The sequence below is a fragment of the Homo sapiens genome, chromosome 1 (assembly GCF_000001405.40).
Source record: "Homo sapiens chromosome 1, GRCh38.p14 Primary Assembly".
Taxonomy (NCBI): domain Eukaryota; kingdom Metazoa; phylum Chordata; class Mammalia; order Primates; family Hominidae; genus Homo; species Homo sapiens.
In genome coordinates this window covers 32,273,940-32,296,061 of record NC_000001.11, presented here as the reverse complement: position 1 = coordinate 32,296,061, position 22,122 = coordinate 32,273,940, and the positions used below count along the sequence as shown (strand labels likewise).

The 22,122-nt window shown below is 50.4% G+C and overlaps 2 protein-coding genes across 9 annotated transcripts in view, besides 3 other annotated features; both read right to left on the bottom strand.

Annotated features, from left to right (window-relative positions):
- HDAC1 (histone deacetylase 1) overlaps positions 1 to 3,979 on the bottom strand; it is a 41,544-nt gene extending 37,565 nt beyond the window's left edge. Inside the window, exon 1 of the mRNA NM_004964.3 lies at positions 3,844 to 3,979. Within this exon, the coding sequence (NP_004955.2) occupies positions 3,844 to 3,892 (49 nt within the window). The 5' untranslated portion in view covers positions 3,893 to 3,979. The remainder of the gene's footprint in view (positions 1 to 3,843) is intronic.
- Positions 2,540 to 3,114: an enhancer, noted in NCBI's record as "H3K27ac-H3K4me1 hESC enhancer chr1:32758549-32759123 (GRCh37/hg19 assembly coordinates)". NCBI's record gives its function as "activates a minimal SCP1, AML or CMV promoter by ChIP-STARR-seq in primed H9 embryonic stem cells {active_cell/tissue: H9 hESC(primed)}" and the evidence as "EXISTENCE:reporter gene assay evidence [ECO:0000049][PMID:30033119]".
- Positions 3,186 to 3,245: an enhancer, noted in NCBI's record as "active region_685". NCBI's record gives its function as "activates an Ori minimal core promoter by ATAC-STARR-seq in GM12878 lymphoblastoid cells {active_cell/tissue: GM12878}" and the evidence as "EXISTENCE:reporter gene assay evidence [ECO:0000049][PMID:35858748]".
- Positions 3,856 to 4,265: a silencer, noted in NCBI's record as "silent region_591". NCBI's record gives its function as "represses an Ori minimal core promoter by ATAC-STARR-seq in GM12878 lymphoblastoid cells {active_cell/tissue: GM12878}" and the evidence as "EXISTENCE:reporter gene assay evidence [ECO:0000049][PMID:35858748]".
- Positions 9,897 to 22,122, bottom strand: part of LCK (LCK proto-oncogene, Src family tyrosine kinase) — a 34,901-nt gene continuing 22,675 nt past the window's right edge. Inside the window, exons 1-13 of one of the 8 annotated variants that reach the window (NM_001042771.3) lie at positions 21,836 to 21,941; positions 21,628 to 21,737; positions 21,244 to 21,325; positions 20,979 to 21,069; positions 20,643 to 20,741; positions 20,390 to 20,493; positions 19,999 to 20,148; positions 19,573 to 19,725; positions 19,276 to 19,455; positions 16,315 to 16,391; positions 16,068 to 16,221; positions 15,852 to 15,983; positions 9,897 to 10,548 (exon numbers count right to left, since the gene is read on the bottom strand). In NM_001042771.3, coding sequence (NP_001036236.1) covers positions 10,346 to 10,548; positions 15,852 to 15,983; positions 16,068 to 16,221; positions 16,315 to 16,391; positions 19,276 to 19,455; positions 19,573 to 19,725; positions 19,999 to 20,148; positions 20,390 to 20,493; positions 20,643 to 20,741; positions 20,979 to 21,069; positions 21,244 to 21,325; positions 21,628 to 21,732 — 1,530 coding nt within the window. In that variant the 5' untranslated portion in view covers positions 21,733 to 21,737; positions 21,836 to 21,941 and the 3' untranslated portion in view covers positions 9,897 to 10,345. Of the gene's footprint in view, positions 10,549 to 15,851; positions 15,984 to 16,067; positions 16,222 to 16,314; positions 16,392 to 19,275; positions 19,456 to 19,572; positions 19,726 to 19,998; positions 20,149 to 20,389; positions 20,494 to 20,642; positions 20,742 to 20,978; positions 21,326 to 21,627; positions 21,942 to 22,122 lie in introns of those variants that run through there. The other 7 variants (NM_005356.5, XM_047420399.1, XM_024447047.2 and 4 more) reach the window with 7 other exon arrangements.

Below are 22,122 nucleotides of genomic sequence, written 5' to 3'. Positions count from 1 at the left end.
GGCAATTCCTCTACACAGTGACAAATACTATCACGGGGGAGTACACAGCATGAGGGGCACTAAACTTTTCCTCAATCCACTTCCTTAGAATTCCACCCTGGAATTCTATATAACTTATTGGGTGACTGCATCCTTTATGACTAAATTTACTACAATTAAAATTGCTAGCAGCCAGGAATGGTGGGTCATGCCTATAATCCCAACACTTTGGGAGGCTGAGCCCAGGACTTCAAGGCCAGCCTGGACAACATGGCAAGACAACATCTCTACAACAAACAAACAAACAAACAAACAAATAAAATAACTATCCATATGCTGATTGTTATGGTCTGAATGTGTCCCCCAAAATTCATGTGTTGGAAACATATTCCCCAATGCCAACAGTGTTTGGAAGTGGAGCCTTTTGGGAGGTGTTTAGGTCTCAAGGGCTCTACCATCCTCACTAATACATTAATGGCCATATAAAAAAACAGAGTTTATCCTTTTTTGCCTTTCCACCTTCTGTCATATGAAAACACTGAATTCAAAGCACCATATTGGAAGTAGAGACCAGACCCTCACCAGACACCAAATGCTGGCACCCTGATCTTGGACTTTCTAGCCTTGGACTTCTCAGCCTCCAGAACTATGAGAAATACATTTATGTTCTTTTTTTTTTTTTGACACAAGGTCTCACTCTGTCCCCCAGGCTGGAGTGCACTGGTGCGATCATGGCTCACTGCAGAGTCGACCTCCCAGGATCAAGTGATCCTCCCACTTCAGCCTCTCTACAGGCACATGCCATCATGCCCAGCTAATTTTTTTACTTTTTGTAGAGACAGAGTCTCCCTAAGTTGCCCAGGCTGGTCTCAAACTCCTGGGCTCAAGAGAACCATCCGCCCCAGCCTACCAAAGTACTGGGATTATAGGCGTGAGCCACCACATTCAGCAATTTCTGTTCTTTATAAACAGTGTTCTGTTATAGCAGACTAAGATACTGATGACTACCAAAAAATTTCTATCTTCTAAACTGCCTACTGGATGCCTCTACTTGGATGTCCCCTAAACATCTTAACAGTTATCAATAGTTATTTCTAAACAAACAAACAACAACAACAAAAAAAACAGTGGCTTAGGCCTGTAATCCCAGCACTTTGGGAGGCCAAGGTGGCAGGATTGCTTGAGGCCAGGCACAGGAGTTCAAGACAAGCCCAGGCAACATATTGAGACCCCATCTCTAGAAGTTTAAAAAAAAAAAAAAAAAGTTGGGGCCGGGTGCGGTGGCTCACACCTGTAATCCCAGCACTTTGGGAGGCCGAGGCGGGCGGATCATGAGGTCAGGAGATCCAGACCATCCTGGCTAACACGGTGAAACCCTGTCTCTACTAAAAATACAAAAAATCAGCCCAGTGTGGTGGCGGGCGCCTGTAGTCCCAGCTACTGGAGAGGCTGAGGCAGGAGAATGGCATGGACCCGGGAGGTGGAGCTTGCAGCAGTGAGCCGAGATTGCGCCACTGCACTCCAGCCTGGGCGACAGAGCGAGACTCCATCTCAAAAAAAAAAAAAAAAAAAAGTTATCAACTGACATGGCATTCTCCAAACCTCCAAACACTCACCATCAAATTGCCCACATCAGAGGCCAGGAAGTGTGGCTCATGCCTATAATCCCAGCACTTTGGGAGGCTGAGGCAGATGGAGCACTGGAGGTCAGTTTGAGACCAGCCTGGCCAACATCGTGAAACCCCATCTCTAATAAAAATACAAAAACTAGCCAGGCATGGTGGCGCACGCCTGTAATCCCAGCTACTCAGGAGGCTGAGGCAGGAGAATCCCTTGAATCTGGGAGGTGGAGGTTGCAGTTGCAGTGAGCCGAGATCAAGCCACTGCACTCCAGCCTGGGTGACAGAGCTAGACATCATCTCAAAAAATAAAAAATACTGCCCACACCAGGAACTTGGGATCCATGCCTTCTTCCTTACCCCTACAATCTGAATTTTTTTGTTTTTTTTTTTTTTGAGACGAAGTCTCGCTCTGTTGCCCAGGACGGAGTGCAGTGGTGAGATCTCAGCCCACTGCAACCTCTGCCTCCCAGGTTCAAACAACTCTCGCACCTCAGCCTCCTGAGTAGCTGGGACTACAGGCATGTGCCACCACACCTCGCTAATTTTTTTTTTTTTTTTTGAGATGGAGTCTCACCCTGTTGCCCAGGCTGGAGTGCAGCGGTGCAATCTTGGCTCACTGCAACCTCTGCCTCCTGGGTTCAAGCGACTCTCCTGCCTCAGCCTCCTGAGTAGCTGGGATTACAGGTGCGCACCACCACACCCGGGTAATTTTTGTATTTTTAGTAGAGACAGGGTTTCACCATGTTGGTCAGGCTGGTCTTGAACTCCTGACCTCATGATCCGCCCGCCTCAGCCTCCCAAAGTGCCGGGATTACAGGCGTGAGCCACCGTGCCCAGCCTAAATTTTGTATTTTTAGTAGAGATGGGGTTTCACCGTGTTGGCCAGGCTGGTCCTGAACTCCTGGCCCCGAGTGATCTGCCTGCCTCAGCCTCCCAAAGTACTGGGATTAGAGAGGTGTGAGCCACTGCACCTGGCCCCCATTACTTTAATTTCTAAGGTATAAACCTGATGATGTCAATAACCTGCATAAAACTTGAATCACTCACAAGTGCCCTCAATAAAGTCCAACTTCCTTGGGACAGCATGCCCAGCCCTTCATGGTCCGGTCCCTATTTACATCTTTTTTTTTTTTTTTTTTTAAGACAGAGCCTCGCTCTGTTGTCCAAGCTGGAGTGCAGTGGCACGATCTCAGCTCACTGCAACCTCTGCCTCCCGGGTTCTAAGGGATTCTCCTGCCTTAGGCTCCAGAGTAGCTGGGATTACAGGCGCACACCACCATGCGCGGCTAATTTTGTATTTTTAGTAGAGACGGGGTTTCACCATGTTGGCCAGGCTGGTCTCGAACTCCTGACCTCAGGTGATCCACCAGCCTCGGCCTCCCAAAGTGCTGGGATTACAGGCGTGAGCCACCACGCCCGGCCAAATGCCTGTTTTTCAAAGGTCCTGTCCTCTCTCTTGCCTCTGAAACTTGCTGTTATCTTTGCCTTCCCTGTGCCTGGCTAAGAACTCCTGTTCTTCAGGTCCTAACTAAGATGTCCCCTCCTTCGCTGACTCCTCAGGTGGAGTTCGGTGCCTCTTCTCTGTGCTCCCCTAACACTCTGAGCTCTGACACGGAGAGAACTTCGGTCACTGGGAAGGGTGACCCGATCAACCCCACGGCCCCAGCCCCTCAACACTTCCTCGAACACAGTAACCTGCTTGAGAGATTAAGTGAGAAGTCTGTTTTAACAGGTTGCATCCTTCTCCTTGCAACCCCTGGCGCCCCACGTCGCAGTAGCAACCGCAGGCCCCGCTCAGAGGCTGGGGGAGGGGAGGCGGGCAACCAGTCGTGCAGGACTCTTCCCCCAGAAAAGATGAGGAAGGGACGGGGCAGGGAAGAGCTTTGGGTTCTCGGCAAGAAAATGTATCCTTGCAGCCGTCTCCATCAGATTCAGCCTCCCCGCTCCGACGCACCCTCCCCTCTAGGAGTCCCACTCAAACTCTCCACATCAGACTTCCTCAGAATCTTCCCATCAAGATTACCTCACGCTTCCCCCACGCGATCCCCTCTTGGTCTCAGCCTCGATCTCCCTTCCTCGCAGCCTCCTCCCTCAGCCTCGACTTCCCCCTCGCAGCCTCCTCTCCGAGCCTCTCCCCAGCGCCTCAGCCTCCCGCAGCCTCCCATCGGCGCTCCAGCCTCAGCCTCCAGGTTCCCGGTCCGGCCCGGCCTGGCCCCGCCCCCGCCGCGAGGACGGTGCTCACCGTCGTAGTAGTAACAGACTTTCCTCCGGGTGCCCTGCGTCTGCGCCATCTTGCTCGCCTCCCGTCCCTACCGTCAGTCGGTCCGTCCGCCCTCCCGCCCGCGGCTCCGCTCAGCGTCCGACCCAGGGGGGAGGGGGCGGGCCTCCGGCCCGCCCCGCCCGTCCCCTCCTGGGCTCACCTATAGCCGCGCAGCCCGGGCACCGCTCCAGCCAATCAGCTTGCGCAGACACGGGCCCGGAACTCGGCAGGGGGCAAGGGCAGCCCGGAGAGGCCGCCGAGGGCCCCCTGGGCCTGTACCAAGGTCTGCGACAGATGGGTGGGGAGCCGCCCGGGGACCGTACCATCAGTCCCGGGGGAGGAAAGCAGCTCTGTAAACTTAACAGTCCCACTTCGTCGTGAAAAGCGTGCTTGGAGATCGGAGGCCAACTTTCTGATTTTACGGAGAATAAACCGAGGCCTACAGGGGAAAAGTGACTTGCACAAGGTCACTCAGCCAATAAAAGGGCTGAACCTGGGTTAGAAAGCGAGTTTGTGGCCGCAAAGGAGGGCTACAGAAAAATAATTAAAAAGAAAAGCAACACGCGGGTTTGGAGAGGAAGAAACCGACAAGAAAGGGAAAGAAAGCTAATGTTTGTCGAGGGGCTGCTGTGTGCCAAGTACTGTGCGACACTTTACCAATGTTATTTCAGTTTTTCCTCAAAACAGCTCTCGGCCAAGGGCTTTTTACCTCCATTTTACAGGACAGGATAAAGAAGTTCAGACTTCTGTGAATTATTCAAAGTTACACAAAGTAATTAAATTCAATTTTTTAATTGTACAGGGTTTTTAAAATGCTTTCTTTGCACCAGAGGCACTGTAACAAAGTGACAGAACCCAGCCTTTCAGACTCCAAAATCTACCTCCCTGATGCAGTCACCCAGGATGACTAAGTAGGCGTCTCTTTAGACAGGAGGAAATGGGATTATCCTATGATAGGAGGGCAGGTTTCCTTTCTTTTCTTTCCCTGTTTTTTTTTTTTTTTTTTTTTTTGAGACAAGAGTTTCGCTCTAGTTGCCCAGGCTGGAGTGCAATGGTGTGATCTCGGCTCACCACAATCTCTGCCTCTGTGTTCAAGCGGTTCTCCTGCCTCAGCCTCCCGAGTAGCTGGGATTACAAGCATGTGCCACCATGCCCGGCTAATTTTGTATTTTTGGTAGAGACTGGGTTTCTCCGTGTTGGTCCAGGTGGTCTCGAACTCCTGACCTCAGGATCCGCCCACCTCGGCCTCCCAATATGCTGAGATTACGGGCGTGAGCCACAGCGCCCGGCCTAGGAGGGCAGGTTTCTCAGCCTGGTAGCTAATGACATTTTGGGCCAGGTAATGCTTTTTTGTAGGAAGCTATTCTGTGCATTAACAGCTTCTGTGAAGCTGTTCTGTGCCTGGGCAACTAGAGTGAAACTCTTGTCTCAAAAAAAAAAAAAATTAAGCAGCATCCTTAGCCTCTACCCACTAGATGCCAGTAGCACCTTCCCCCCAGGCTGTGACAACCAAAATTGTCTCTAGACATTGCCAAGTACTGTGCAATAGCTTTACCATTGGGTTGGGGGGAAGATTAGTGGGGTGTAAGGGAGTGTAAAATTGCCCCCAACTCTACCATTAAGAACCACTCCACCAGATCATCAATTATCAACTGATCATCACTGAAAGCTGAAAGACCTAAAAGTGCAATGCTGGGCTATTAAAATAACTACAATAATGTCAATATTTAATGAGTGCTTCCTGTGTGCCAAACATTGCTCTAAGTTAGCCGCCAACTTGTGGTCCTACAGTCAACAAGAGGCTGGGCACAGTGGCTCACGCCTGTAATCCCAGCACTTTGGGAGGCCAAGATGGGTGGATCACTTGAGCTCAGGAGTTCGAGACCAGCCTGGGCAACATGGCAAAACCCCATCTCTACAAAAAATAGAAAAATTACCCAGGTGTGGGGGCGCGCTCCTGTAGTTCCAGCTACTCAGGAGGCTGAGGTGGGATGATGGCTTGAGCCCAGGAGACAGATGTTGCAGTGAGCCAAGATCATGTCACCACACTCCAGCCTGGGCAATAGAGCCAGGCCTTGTCTCAAACAAAAGAAAACAACAAGATACATCTTTATGCCTCTTTAAAGAGTGTTTGGGACTTGTGTTTCTCACTCAGAAACTGCATTTGAGTCATTAATTATAAGGTAACAGAAAATCTAAGACTGGGTGGCTTATAATAGAAACAGCAAAGGGCCAGGGAACAAATTCTACTCCCAGTTCTCTGTTGCTAATTCTCAGCTAGCCCTGGGTGGGTTTACTTAACCATTCTGGGCCTCCATTTCCCTTGTTATAAAATGGGGAGGAGGCCGGGCACAGTGACTCATGCCTGTAATCCTAACAATTTGGAAGGCTGAGGTGGGCAAATCACCTGAGGTCAGGAGTTCGAGACCAGCCTGCCCAGCACGGTGAAACCCCGTCTCTATTAAAAATGCAAAAATTAGCTGGGCGTGGTGGTGTGTGCCTGTAGGTCCCAGCTACTTAGGAGGCTGAGGCAGGAGATTCGCTTGAAACCGGGAGGTGGAGGTTGCAGTGAGCCGAGATCAGGCCACTGCATTACAGTCTGGATGACAGAGTGAGACTCTGTCTCAAATAAATAAGAAATAAAATAAAATAACAAAAATGGGGAGGATAGGAATACAAAGTTCACCCACGCTATGGCTGTACACAGTATCCCAAAGAGAAGGAGTGTGGGGATCAGATGAGATCATGAGGTGTGGCAGCAGGTCAGTCAGGTGATAGATTTACATTATTATGACTCAGATGCTCTTTGTTTGCATATATATATGTATATATATATATATAATTTTTTTTTTTTTTGAGATGAAGTCTCACTCTGTCGCCCAGGCTGGAGTGTAGTGGTGCGATCTTGGCTCACTGCAAGCTCCACCTCTCGAGTTCACGCCATTCTCCTGTCTCAGCCTCCCGAGTAGCTGGGACTACAGGCACCTGCCACCAGGCCCGGCTAATTTTTTTATATTTTTAGTAGAGACAGGGTTTCACCATGTTAGCCAGGATGGTCTCGATCTCCTGACCTCGTGATCCACCCACCTCAGCCTCCCAAAAAGTGCTGGGATTACAGGCGTGAGCCACCACACCCGGCCCTTTTTTTGTATATTTTAAAAATTACAAAAAATAAATAAAATAAAAATTAAAAAAATAAAAATTAAAAAAATTAAAAATAAAAATTAGAGGCCGGGCACTGTGGCTCACTCCTGTAATCCCAGCAGTTTGGGAGACCGAGGCGGGCAGATCACCCAAGGTCAGGAGTTTGAGACCAGCCTGGCCAACATGGCGAAACCCCACGTCTACTAAAAATATAAAAATTAGCTAGGCATGGTGGCAGGCGCCTGTAATCCCAGCTACTAGGGAGGCTAAGGCAGAAGAATGGCTTGAACCTGGGAGGCAGAGGTTGCAATGAGCTGAGATCGCGCCATTCAGCCTTCCGAGTAGCTGGGATTGTAGGCACCTGCCACCACTCCCGGCTAATTTTTTGTATTTTTAGTAGAGACGGGGTTTCACTATGTTGGCCAGGCTGATCTTGAACTCCTGACCTTGTGATCCGCCTGCCCCGGCCTCCTAAACTGCTGGGATTACAGGTGTGAGCCACGGTGCCTGGCCAACATTTCCCTATCTTTCATCAAACACTCTGCCATCCTCAGGTATCTTTAATTTTCTCACTTTTTAATGGAAATGTGGGTGCAAAAAACCATTTTCTTTATTATACCATTTATTAAATGGTATAATACCATAATATAATTTTCTTTATCATACCATTTATTAAACCATTTATCTTTATTATAAGAACAACAAGCATGAGCTTGGTGGTAAATAGCTACTAACACTCAGTTTCATTGTCTAAGACCAACAGGGAGTGGAGGGGACTCTGGCAAAGGTAGAGTTCAGGCCCTACCTGGAGGGGTGGCCATTATTCAGCTCCATGAGGACAGGTAAGTCCAACATAGCTAAATCTTCCCTTTTTTTTGAGATGGGGTTTCGCTCTCTTTTTTGCTCTGGCTGGAGTGCAATGGCAGGATCATGCTCACTGCAGCCTTGACTTCCTGGGCTCAAACTATCCTCCTAAGTAGCTAGGAATACAAGCTTGCCTCCTGAGTAGCTGGGACTGCAGGTGTGCACCACCACACCCTGCTAATTTTTTTTTTTTTTTGGTAGAGACAGGGTTTTGCCATGTTGTCCAGTCTGGTCTTAAACTCCTGGGCTCAAGCAATCTGCCCACCTTGGCCTTCCAAAATGCTGGGATTATAGGAGTGAGCCAACGCACCTAGCCCCTATTTTTCAAGAGAAGGCAGAAATCTGGAGTTTTATGCAAAATCTCCCCAGTTTTATAAACTGACTAACTCAGTCTATTTTCAAGACAGCAGCAAGAGCCATCCTTTTAAAATGTAAGTCAGGGCTGGACGCTATGGCTCACGCCTATAATCCCAGCACTTTGGGAGGCTGAGGAACATGGATCACTTGAGCTTAGGAGTTTGAGATCAGCCTGGGCAACATGGTGAAACCCCGTCTCCACCGAAAATACAAAAAATTAGCCGGGAGTGTTGGTGTATGCCTGTGGTCCCAGCTACTGAGGAGGCTGAGGTGGGAGGATTGTTTGAGCCCAGGAGGCAGAGGCTGCAGGGAGCCGAGATTTCACCTTTGTTCTCCAGCCTGGGTGACAGAGTGAGACCCCATCTCAATTAAAAATAAAAAAAAGAGGCCGGGTGTGGTGGCTCACACCTGTAATCCCAGCACTTTGGGAGGCCGAGGCAGGCGGATCACAAGGTCAGGAGATCCAGACCATCCTGGCTAACACGGTGAAACCCCATCTCTACTAAAAATACAAAAAAATTACCCAGGCTTGGTGGTGGACGCCTGTAGTCCCAGCTACTCGGGAGACTGAGGCAGGAGAATGGCATGAACCCGGGAGGCAGAGCTTGCAGTGAGCCGAGATCGCGCCACTGCACTCCAGCCTGGGCGACAGAGCAAGAAAAAATAAATAAATAATTTCATTATTTATTTCAAAAATAAATAAATAAAATAAAATGTAATTCAGATCATATCAGCTTTGCAGAGATTCCTGCAAAGTTTCCTCAAAATGGCTTCTGCAGAGGCCACAAGGCCCCAGGCCTGTAGGATCTATCCCCCTCTCTCAGAGCATGCCCGGTAAACGCCTGCCTCACCCTGTTCCCTCTGGCTGACTGCTCCTCCCCTCCTCCATACAAGGCTCACTCCTTCACCTTGGAATCTTTGCTCAAAAGCCACCTACCTTCTCAATGAAGCCTTCCCTTTTTTTTTTTTTTTTTTTTTGAGACAGGATCTCCCTTCGTCGCCTACTCTGGAGTGCCACAGTGGCACAATCATATCTCAAGCAATCCTCATGCCTCAGCCTCCTGATCTGCTGGGACTACAAGCATGAGCTACTATGCTCGGCTAAGTGTGTTTGATTTTTTTAAAACTTTTTTTGGAGACCAGGATCTTACTCTGTTCTTGAATTCCTGGCCTCAAGAAAGTAGTCCCAGGTACTCGGGAGGCTGAGACAGGAGGAGCATTTGAGCTGGAGAGGTTGAGGCTACAGTGAGCCGTGATCATGCGACTGCACTCCAGCCTGGATGAAAAAGTGAGACCCAGTCTCAAAAAAAAAAAAAAATCTGAGGATAGTTACAGATTTATTTGTTCCTCCTCCATTCCCGCCGCTTCATTTGACTAGCCTTAAAAAAACAAAATCTGAGGTCAAATATAGCCCTTGAATCAGTAAAAAATGCTGTTGCCCTTTTATAATGGGGAGGAAGGTCCTTTGACGCACCCATTCCCTAAGGGATTCCAGGTAGGAGTCACCCTGAATCCTTTGGGGAGGGGTGAGGAGCACTGTCCCATTTGAAGGGGTCTGCAGAGCCTCCAGACATCCACTCATCCCATCTTTCACCCCAACTCAGGGTGACCTAATTACCATTTTCTTAACCCCCACTGCCCACCCACAAAGAGTGGACAGCAAAGAGATGTACAACAGTCATCAACAGACATTTATTGAACTCCTGATGTGTGCCAGGCCAGGCACCAAGGAGGAGCACACAGAGGTATTAGATAAAGTCCTGGCCCTTGAGGAACTTCTGGATGATCTGAGGAAAGAAAAGTAGGTGGGCAGAAGCTTCTGTCAATCCCAGGCTTCTCCCCTCTCTCTGTGGTCTCAGGAAATGGGAGAGCCAGAAAGGGGTACCTTGTACAGTGTCCAAGACATACATGCACAGGCTACACATGTACAAGACATGTGCAGAGTCCACGCAACTACAGGACACGTGTACAGACACAAGGTGCATATGTGTCACATGTGGGTGGGATTCATGTGCAGAGTCCATATGTGCATAGGCCATGTGACTATGGCACAAGAACTCCATCTCCCCAAGTCAGGCTGGAGAGAAAGGGGGAGAACCCCAGGGCCTCTCAAGGCCTCTCAAGGCTGAGGCTGGTACTGGCCCTCTGTGGCCGTGAAGAAGTCCTCCAGCACACTGCGCAGGTAGTCAAAGGTGGGCCGGTCCTCTGGGCGCTCCTTCCAGCACAGCCTCATGAGTTGGTACAGCTCCTCTGGACAGTTGTCAGGGCGCACCATGCGGTAGCCTCGCTCCAGGTTCTGAATCACCTCCGGGTTGGTCATCCCTACGGGTTGATGGGTGAAAGGACATCAAGGTCAGGCACTGGAAGCCCACAGGCAAGGGTAATGTTCGGAATATTTAACTGGCACAGTGTGAGCACCAATCCAAAAGAATCTTGGTCTTCATCAATGGTAAGGTCACACTAGAGGTACTTGTTGAATATCAGTCACACCACTTGGAGTGCCTGGTATAGATTATTTCCTTTTCTTTTTTTTTGAGATGCAATTTCACTCTTGTTGCCCAGGCTGGAGTGCAATGGTGCGATCTCGGCTCACCGCAACCTCCACCTCCCAGGTTCAAACAATTCTCCTGCCTCAGCTTCTCGAGTAGCTGGGATTACAGGCATGCACCACCACGCCAAGCTAATTTTGTATTTTTAGTAGAGACGGGTTTCTCCATGTTGGTCAGGCTGGTCTTGAACTCCTGACCTCAGGTGATCCGCCCGCCTCAGCCTCCCAAAGTGCTGGATTACAGGCGTGAGCCACCGTGCCCACCTGATTATTTACTTAAAAAAAATGTTTTAGATAAGGGATCTCACTATGTTGCCCAGGCTGGAGTGCAGCAGCTGTTCACAGGCACAATCATAGCACATTGCAAATTTGAACTCCTCCGTTCAAGTGATCCTTTCACCTCAGCCTCCTAAATAGCTGGACAACAGGTGCACACCACCACAACCTGCTTCCCTGGTGTAAATTAAATGCTCAATAATACACACATGTTAGTTGTGGAACCTTGGGCGAGCCCAGTTTCCTTATTTGGAAAATAGAGTAAATAACTGTTCCTACCTCATAGAATTGTTATGAGGATTAAATGAGATTGTGCACAGAAAGCATCAAATATAGTGCACAGGCCAGGCATGGTGGCTCATGCCTGTAATCCCAGCATGGTGGGAGGCCAAAGCAGGCAGATCACTTGAGGCCAGGAGTTCAAGACCAGCCTGACCAACATGGCAAAACCCCATCTTTACTAAAAATACAAAAATTAGCCAGGCTTGGTGGTATGCGCCTGTAGTCCCAGCTATTTGGGAGGCTGAGTCACAGTAATTGCTTGAACCTGGGAGGTGGAGGTGCAGAGGTTGTAGTGAGCTGAGACTGTGCCACTGCACTCCAGCCTGAGCAACTCAAGCCAGACTCTTGTCTCAAAAAAATTAAAAATAAAAATAATATATATATTATTATATATATATCTCACATATATATATCTCTCACAGATATATATATATCTCACAGATATATATATCTCACAGATATATATATATATATATATCACAGAAAGCATCAAATCTATCCAGGCACAGAAAGTCTGGATCGGAGATGCTTCATAAAGGGCACCTGAGGCCATCTGCGGTGGCTCACGCCTGTAATCCCAACACTTTGGGAGGCCAAGCCGGGTGGATCACCTGGGGTCAGGAGTTTGAAACCAGCCTGGTCAACATAGTAAAAACCTGTCTGTACTAAAAAAATACAAAAATTAGCTGGGCGTGGTGGCACACACCTGTAATTCCAGCTACCCGAGAGACTGAGGCAGGAGAATCGCTTAAACCCAGGAGGTAGAGGTTGCAGTGAGCTGAGATCATGCCACTGCACTCCAGCCTGGGTGACAGAGACTCTGTCTGAAATAAATACATAAATAAATAAATAATAAAGGGCACCTGGGATTATTATTATTTGGTAGGAATGATGAGATGGTCAGGGCCCAGGGCAGGATGGGCACCCACAACCAAGACAGTGGTGAGGTCTCTCCAGTTTTAAGACCAGGCACATGACATCCTGCATCACGAAGCCAAATGGACCCTGGGCCTAGCAAAGCAGACCTTGCTTGGACTTGAGAAGGTTCCCCAGGCCCCTCCATGACCCAGATGAAATAGTCTTTGGGCTGGTTCCCTCCCTTTATGCTGGTCCTGGCCCCTCTGGCAGGCTTTTGGCATGTAGACCCCAAGAAGAGCTGCTCTGGAGAACTACATGATCACAGCAGTAACATAGCTCCCTCCTTCCCTATTTCTAAATTGCTCATGTAGTGTCTGGTTTCTCCTTCAGTCTTCTGAACAAAGATTGTGACAAGCAGTTCCCAAAGACCAAAACCTTATAGGGTATTTACAAAATCAAAGTTTTGCTCCTGGAAAGCTTGGGACTAAAGCCTGGTCAACAGAGACCCTTTTTCCCCAGGACTTGTACAAGGGAGCCTCTGCCTATGGGACTCTCACAATTTTTTTTTTTTTTTTTTTTTTTTGAGACAGAGTCTCGCTCTGTTGCCCAGGCTGGAGTGCAATGGTACAGTCTCGGCTCACTGCAACCTCCGCCTCCCAGGTTCAAATGATTCCCCTGTCTCAGCTTCCCGAGTAGCTGGGACTACAGGTGCATGCCACCACACCCGGTTAATTTTTGTATTTTTAGTAGAGATGGGGTTTCACTATGTTGGTCAGGCTGGTCTCCACCTCCTGACCACGTGATCCGCTCATCTCAGCCTCCCAAAGTGCTGGGTTGCAGGCGTGACCCACCACGCCTGGCTGGGACTCTCACATTTTAAAACTGGGGCATAGGAGGACATAGGCCACGGAACTAAACACCCATGGCCAGAGTTAAGGGTGCAAGCCCACAGGCTAAATCCAGCCTGAGTATAGCCCACAGATCCACTTTGGATTGGCCCTAGAGTGGTTTTATTTATTTATTCATTTAATTAATTTATTTATTTAATTTATTTATATTTATTTTTGAGATGGACTCTCACTCTGTCACCCAGGCTGGAGTGCAACAGCGTGATCATGGCTCACTGCAACTTCCGCCTCCAGGGTTCAAGTGATTCTCTTGCCCCAGCCTCTTGAGTGGCTGGGACTACCAGTGCCCAACACCACGCCTGGCTAATATTTTTGTATTTTTAGTAGAGGCAGGGTTTCACCATGTTGGCCAGGCTGGTCTCAAACTCCTCACCTTGTGATCCACCCACCTCAGCTTCCCAAAGTGCTGGGATTACAGGTGTGAGTCACCGTGCCCAGCCCCTAGAGTGCTTTTAAACAATTTGAATCAATCGCCAATAAATGGAAATGAACAGATTTTCCTAAAACTCCAAGTTTGGGCTTCTCTTAAAAAAACAAAAGATCTGTTTTTTTGGGTCCCCCACGCCTTAATTGCAGCCATCTGCTGGAGCAGCTGCAAGTTTACCAAGGTCCCCATTTCTCCCCATTGTCTCCCTGACCCTAATGCTATATGTCAGTTGCCATTTATCATCATGCTTTCACTGCCTATTTTCTTCTAATAGATACATTCCCTATGGGTTTGCCTCTGTGGGAACCGGGAAGGAGCAGTGAGGACCCCTGGCAGGATAACTGGAGAATATTTCTGTATTTCCAGCTCCAGCACTACCCCTGGACGCTGGTTTGGGGCAAGCCCAGGGCAGGGAAGCCCCTCAGCTTTTCACCTGTTTCCAAGGTGGTTGTTTTTGTTTTTGTTTTGAAACAGAGTCTCACTTTGTCACCCAGGCTGGAGTGCGGTGGCATGATCTCAGCTCACTGCAACCTCTGCCTCCTGGGTTCAAGCAATTCTCCTGCCTCAGCCTCCTGAGTATCTAGGGTTACAGGCGCGTGCCACCATGCCCAGATAATTTTTATATATATTTTTTTTAGTAGAGACGGGGTTTCACCATGTTGGTCAGGCTGGTCTCGAACACCTGACCTTGTGATCCACCCGCCTCGGCCTCCCAAAGTGCTGGTATTACAGGTGTGAGCCACTGCATCCGGCCTTCCAAGGTGTCTTTACCTTCCTTGGAGCAAAGGTCTGTTCACCTTGCTCTGGGGATATGGGAAGCTTCTACAAATCTAGCCACTGTGCCGCATGACCCCCCTACTCCTGTCTTTATGCTCCATTTCCTTTCCCCAGAGTTTCTTAGCAAGTTCCTTTCAAAAATTCCATCCCTGTCTTGGCTGAATTCAGGGGTAAAGGGCTTTGTCCAGGAGATGGTGGGAGGAGTCAGTGTATACTGACAACCTACTATGAGTCAGGCTCTTTCACAAATGGTCTCTCATTTTTTCTTTTTTCTTTTTCTTTTTCTTTTTTTTTTTTTTTGAGACAAATTCTCTCTCTGTTGCTCAGGCTGGAGTGCAATAGAACAATCATGGCTCACTGCACCCTCAACCTCCTGGGCTCAAATGATCCTCCCACCTCAGCCTCCCAAATAGCTGAAACTACGGGTGTGTGCCACCATGCCCAGCTAATTTTTAAATGTTTTTTTTGTTTGTTTGTTTTTTTTTTTTTGTAGAGATGGAGTCTCTCTTTTTCTTGTTTTGAGACAGGGTCTTGGTCTATTGCCCTAGGCTGGAGTGTTATGGCATGGTCTTGGCTCACTGCAACCTCTGCCTCCCTGGCTCAGGTGATCCTCCCACCTCAGCCTTCTGAGTAGCTGGGACTAGAGGCACATGCCACCAAACCTGGCTAACTTTTGTTTTTGTAGAGATGGGGTTTCGACCAGTTTCCCAGGCTGGTCTCGAACTCCTGGGCTCAAGCAGTCCTCCCACCTTGGTCTCCCAAAGTTCTGAGATTATAGGCATAAGCCACTGTACCTGGCCTAGTCTCTTATTTTTAGTATCAGGAAACTGAGGCTTAGAGAAGTGAAGTGACTAGCTTCACTAGTTACAGTAATGATCTGAACAAAGCCAAACAGAAAGTTAGCAACAGTGGCAGATCTGCTGATAAAAGGTAGGCCTCTTGTTCCTGAGCTAGATCTTCTTCTACCATACCAGGCTGCCTGGGCCAGAACTAAAGAAAAGAGCTGGGGCCGGGTGTGGTGGCTCACGCCTGTAATCCCAACACTGGGAGGCCGAGGCAGGCCAATCACGAGGTCAGGAGATTGAGGCCATCCTGGCTAACATGGTGAAACCCTGTCTCTACTAAAAATACAAAAAATTAGCTGCGCATGGTGGCACGTACCTGTAATCCTAGCTATTTGGGAGGCTGAGGCAGGAGAATCACTTGAACCCAGGAGGCAGAGGTTGCAGTGATCCAAGATGGCGCCACTGCACCCCAGCCTGGGAGACAGAGCAAGACTCCGTCTCAAAAAAAAAAAAAAAAAAAAAAAAAAAAAAGAAAAAGAAAAAAAGAGAAAAAGAAAAGAGCTGGGGTTATTAAAGAGAGATACGGAGATGGAAGCCAGCCCTGGGAGATGTGGCATCTGCCTGGGGACGTTGGACTCATACCCCTGAGAAGATAGAGGAGATGCAGCTACAAAGTTTCAGATTCTGAGACTGGAAAGAATTGAATGGGAAGACATGGACTTGCCCTTCCCATCACCCTTTCAGTTCCTGCCCTTGGCTCTAACCTGGGTAAGGGATGCGGCCGTGGGTGACAATTTCCGTCAGCAGGATCCCAAAAGACCACACATCTGACTTGATGGTGAATGTCCCGTAGTTAATGGCTTCTGGCGCTGTCCACTTAATGGGAAACTTGGCCCCTAAGGAGGAGGCAGAGTGAGGTCACCTGGGTCTGCTTGGCCAGACCCTGCAGGGCCCAGACCACCCTTAAATCTCACACGTACCCTCCCTGGCTGTGTACTCGTTGTCCTCAATGAGGCGTGCTAGGCCAAAGTCTGCAATCTTGCAGCTCAGGGTGTCAGACACCAGAATGTTGGCAGCCCGAAGGTCACGATGAATATAATTCCGCTCTTCAATGAATGCCATGCCTTCTGCAATCTGCAGGCCAAACACAGATCAGCGGTCCTGAGCCAGATGTCTTCACGTCACTGGTCTGTTCCCTTGCCCAGCCCCCCTCCCCAGTCTCCTTACTTGGGCTGCCATGTCCAGGAGTTTGTTGATGGTCAACTTGATGCCTGAAGGGGTCTTGAGAAAATCCACTAGACTCCCTGTGGGCAGAAGCAAGAGTTGCTGGCCCAAGTTGCCCCAGGGGGAGGCCCCCAGACCTTTCTCCTCCAACTGGGAGTCTAGAAGTGTGTCTGACATGTGAAAAGGAAGATTGAAGAGTGAGAATGGAGGAGTGTGTGTTCAGGGTAAGGATGCCCAGGATATGTAAAGGTTTTTTTGCAGAGGGGCTAGGGTAGAGCATGCTGGGAGGGATCTGTAGGTTTTTCATCACCAATAAGGTAGAACCTAGAATCCTCAACTAGTATCCTAAGCTTGGCATGGTCCACACTGGTAGCTTCTTCTCTTTCCCCCACTCTGCCTTTGACTTCAAACAGTTTAGCAATTTTGAGATCCTGCACTCAGACCACTAGGCTCTCACCCCAAAGCCTCTTTGTTTCATCTCTGCCTGCTAAAAAAAATTCTACTTTTCTTTCGTGGCCCTGCTAGACTGCCCCACTAGGAAGCCTCTCTAGATCCTACCAGGCATAATAAACTGGATCATCATCTACACTCCCATGGGCATGCTGGAACTTTCCCATGGCACAAACTCTGGTTTCCCCAGTAGCTGTAACTAAAATCAGGTTTCCCTGACAACAGGAACCTTGTTTCATCCATCCATGTTCCTGGTGCCCAGCCGAGAGTAAGAAACAATAACTATGTGCTGAATATATTGGATGGAATAAGAAAGAGGGGGTCTGGGGGTCTGAGGGACCACCTCTCTAATAGTGGAGGGCAGCTGGACATGGATGGGAGTTGCTAGGATGCAGTGAGTGACCAATGGCCCTTCCCAAGAGATTAAAACCCTGTAAAAGGATGACAGCAACCTGAGTGTCCCCACTTTGAGTGCTGAACTAGTTACCAAAGACAAAGACCTCACCTACACACAGCAAATACATAGACATAGATATACTGCCATTCTTCCATTGTATCCATGGCAGATGTTACTAATCATTCCTGGCACTCACTTCCAATGAACCTCAGAATCCTTCTCCAGCACTACAAGCAACTACCAATCAAAGTCGATACACATGATAGGCTGGGCATGGTGGCTCACATCTGTAATCCCAGCACTTTGGGAGGCCAAGGCGGGAGGATCACCTGAGGACAGGAGATCGAGACCAGCCTAGCCAACAAGGCGAAAACCTGTCTCTACTAAAAATACAAAAATTAGCCAGGCATGGTGGCACATGCTTGTAGTCCCAGCTACTTGGGAGACTGAGGCATGAGAATCATTTGAACCCAGGAGGGGGAGGCTGAAGTGAGCCGAGATCATGCCACTGCACTCCAGCCTGGAGGACAGAGTGAGACTCAAAAAAAAAAAAGATACACATGACATAATCTATTTGCCATTTCCCATTAGCCAATGAACAGCTTGTTTCTCTTCCTGAAAAAAGGATAGATCTTACACTCCCAAAGAATCAGAGCCAGATAACAGCAACAAACTTATTGATCAGTTACTATATGGTAGCCATAGTTTTGTGGGTTTTTTGTTTTGAGACAAGGTCTCGCTCTGTTACCCAGGTTGGAGTGCAGTGGTGCAATCACAGCTCAGTGCAGCCTCAACCTCCTGGGCTCAAGTGATCCTCCCACCTCAGCCTCCCAAGTAGCTGGGACTACAGGCATACACCACTATGCCCAGCTAATTTTTAAACATTTTTTTGTAGGAATGAAGTCTCGCTATGTTGCACAGACTGGTCTTGAACTTCTGGGCTCAAGTGATCCACCCACCTTGGCCTCCCAAAGTGCTGGAGTTATAGGCTTGAGCCACAGCACCTGGAAGTAGGCATAGTTCTAACTGCTCTGTATGCATTAATTATTTCATCCTCACAAGACCCTGTGAGGAAGTTACTAACGCGTTATTATAGTAGGAAACCATGGCAGAAAGAGGTGATATAATTATCACAAAGCCATAAAATCATGAAGCCAGGCTTCTGACCCAGGCAGTCAGACTCTAGAGGCCTTGATGAATACTCTGTATTATTTCTGGTGAGCCCATTTAGATTTCTGCTGTTATACTTGGGGAAACTGAGCACCAGAGACAGTGCAGGCACTTGGCCTGTCACACGGCAAATCGGTGTGAACAAAGCTGAAGCTAGAAACTCATATTCCTCTTCCTGGGGCTCTCACTCTGTCCAGTAACAGACCAAGAGGGGTGCAGGGGTGGGGGTCTCACTCAGAACTGAAAAAGAGGGCTTTGGGGGCAGATCTGCCCTCCTAGGGCTCAGGGGCAGAAGGGAGAGAAACAGGGCTAGGGACCCACTTGCTTTCTGAGATCAAGCATCCTGAGATCAAGGTAGGGCTTTGAAGAAGGCAAACAGAATGGCAGGTCAGGGAAGGTTGGGGTGAATGCTCTTCCAGAACATTCTTGCCACCTTAGGCTTGCCCCCAGACAGGATCAGATCAGAGGATACACCTTTTTCTCATGCCTGGAGGTGAGTCTTTTTTTTTTTTTTTTTTTTGATAGAGTCTTGCTCTGTCACCCAGGCTGGAGTTCAGTGGCATGATCTCAGCTCACTGCAACTGTAGCCTCCACCTCCCGGATTAAAGGGATTCTCCTGCCTCAGTCTTCTGAGTAGCTGGGATTACAGGCATGTGCCACCACACCTGGCTACTTTTTGTATTTTTAGTAGAGACAGAGTTTCACCATATTGGTCAGGCTGGTCTCGAACTCCTGACCTCGTGATCTGCCCGCCTCGGCTCCCAAAGTGCTGGGATTACAGGCCTGAGCCACCGCGCCCGGCTGGAGGTGAGTCTCCAGGGGGCAGGAAAGCTCAAGAAACCCTCCTTGCTTGAGCTTTGGGCCAGAAGAAAAGGTGTATTTCCACCCTCTGGCAGGGACAGCAGGGAGAGCAGTATCCCCTGGTAGCCGACTCGGGTAGCACCCACCATTCTCCATGTATTCAGTGATGATGTAGATGGGCTCCTGGGTGACCACAGCGTAGAGCCGAACCAGCCGCTGGTGTTGCAGCTGCTTCATGAGGTTGGCCTCGGCCAGGAAGGCGTCCGGGGACATGCTGCCCTGCTTCAGGCTCTTCACCGCCACCTTCGTGTGCCCGTTGTAGTACCCTGGGTCGGGGAAGGGAAGGAGTGGGAAAGTCGCCAGGCAGCTGTCCTGGGACTCTCATCACCTCAGCGGCCCCTCCCGTTCCCCTCTTCCCAGGCAGTCCTGGAGGCCACACTCACCCATCCACACCTCCCCGAACTGTCCAGCCCCCAGCCGCTCCACCAGCTTCAGCGTCTCCCTGGGAACCTCCCACTCGTCCTCCCACCACGGCTTCTGGGGCTTCTGGGTCTGGCAGGGGCGGCTCAACCGTGTGCACAGCCCATCTGAAGCATCTGCGAGGACGAGGGAGGGGTGAAGGCTGTCAATAGGGCAGGCCTCGTATTGACACCACCTCCCCCACTTCTCCAAGCCCCCATCTAGGTGAAGTGGACTAGCAAGGGGGTGTGGGGCTGTCACCCAAACACTTGGGGCCGTAGGGTCAGGTTCCACACCTCACCCACTGCGGGGAATGGAGTAGGGCATTGAAAGATGGATGGGGGACACCTGAGGGGGACTGAGGGGAGATAGGCTGATAGGGCACGGGGGAGGGGTCCCGTCGGGCTCACTGGTGTAATGGCGGACCAGTTCATGCAGGCCGGGAAAAGTGATTCGAGGGGAGATGTAGAAGCCACCGTTGTCCAGATTACGGATCTTGTAATGTTTCACCACCTCTCCCTGGTTCTGGTCGAAGTCCCGGACCGACAGTGAAAACGATCCTGAATGAATGAATGGATGGACAAAGCGACGAAAGAACGCAGTGAGTCTGGCCCGCCACCGCGCCCCCACCTTGGGCTCACCCAGCACCCCCAACTCCGGGTCATCCCGCGCCCCCACCTCGGGCTCATCCCGCGTCCCCCTCCGACTCACCCCGTGTCTCCACCTCGGGCTCACCCTGCGCCCCCCCTCGGGCACACCCCGGGGCACCCCCGCGCCCGGTCGAGACCGCCGCCCGCTCACCCGCGGTGCTCTCGCTCTCCCGGATGAGGAAGGAGCCGTGAGTGTTCCCGGGCGCCAGGAGCTGCCGCTCCGCGTCCTTGCGGCTCAGGTTCTTGAAGAACCAGCTGTGCAGGGCGGAAGCGAACGAAGGCCGTCGGCTGTCGTCGGATCTTCCTCCGTGGCCCTCAAGCCTTCACCGCCACCCCAGGCCTACTCCCTGCTCCAGGATCCCTAGATCTGCTCCTACCCACCCCCACGACGGGTCCCCACTTACGGTTCGGGCTCCAGGCTGTTCGCTTTGGCCACAAAATTGAAGGGGATGAAGCCTTCCTGGCCCGTGGTCAGGGACTGCGCCTTCCACCACTCGCCGCTCCTGCGCCACGGAGGTGGGTCAGTGTGGCTCGCTCAGCCGTCGACCTGAGACCCTCCCTCAAAGACCCCTCCACCCCTTAAGCCAGCCTCCCCCAACCCTGGCTCAGCAATACTGAGCCTCGAATTTTGTCCCAAGGGCGGCCACCCCGAGCTGGTCAAGGGCCGCAGGAGGGCTGCGGGTCGCGGAGATCGCCGCTCCCTCACGGACTCCGCCAGAGCAAGGTGGAGAGGGACTCACTGCTCCAGGATGCGGAGCTGTTCCCCCTTCTCAAAGCCCAGATCTCCGTCGTGAGAGGGCTCATAGCTGTGCAGAGCGATAACCAGGTTGTCTGTAAAGACAAGGGGCATCAGGGAGAACCGAGCTGGGATCGGCAGGAAGCCTGGAGTTACAGGGTGGGGGACAAGGAAGGCAAGACCGGGGAGAAAGTAGGTGGGGGAGAGGTGGAAGCCAACAGCCAGGGATCCGCAGGCCTTGTCTTTCAGGCCCTGCTGCCTGGGGTCACCTTGCAGTGGGGAAGCCGGCGGATTGGAGCCTTCGTAGGTAACCAGTGGGTCCCGCACCTCAGAGCCATTTCGGATGAGCAGCTGTGGAGTGGGGGATGAGGGTGGGGTCAGAAAGCAGAAGATTGGGTCAGACCCTGGCCCCCTTCCCCCCTGCTCTGCTCTCAGCCTCTCCAGCCTGGTTAGATGTTATCCCTGAGTTTACCAACTACTTTCTGTGTGATCTTAGGAGATTCCCTTCCCCTCTCTGGGCCTCTTTTCCTTTCTGTATTTCAGGGGAGAGGGCCACTCTATTCTTTCAAGGGCCTGTAGTGCTGGTCATTTCTTTCTCCTGGGTTGCATTCTCTACCCAACTCCCTCACCAAGGCCCCTGTCTCGCCTCTTACCGTGCCCTTGCCATCCAGTGGGACTATGGGATAATGGCAGTTCTCACACACATCGATGTTTTCCATCCAGTCATCTTCCGGGTGTGAGCTGCAGCCACAGCCCATGGTCCCTGAGGGAATGGAAGAGGGGGCTGAAGGGGCTCCCCCAAGATCTGCTCCCCCAACATCAGATATAATGGGGCCTTGCCCTGGAAAGTTCCAAAAGTACCTGAGATTGTGAGATCCTGGGATCCCCATTCACCAGCCACAGAAAAGCTAAAATAGGGGGTCCCAGCTCCAAACCGGTGCTCCCTCTGAGCCCTCAGGCTACAAGTAAATTCACACACGGCCCCTGAGCCCTAGCCCCACCCTCCCACCTGGGATGGGCAAACCGCCACAGGCACCTTTGTTAGTCTAGTTACCCACTTCCTGCCTCTGCCCCCTCCCTCTCCCTCTGCCAGTACCCTGTGTTGGGAGGACCACCTCCTAGAGATGACACACACTTTCCCAAGCCTG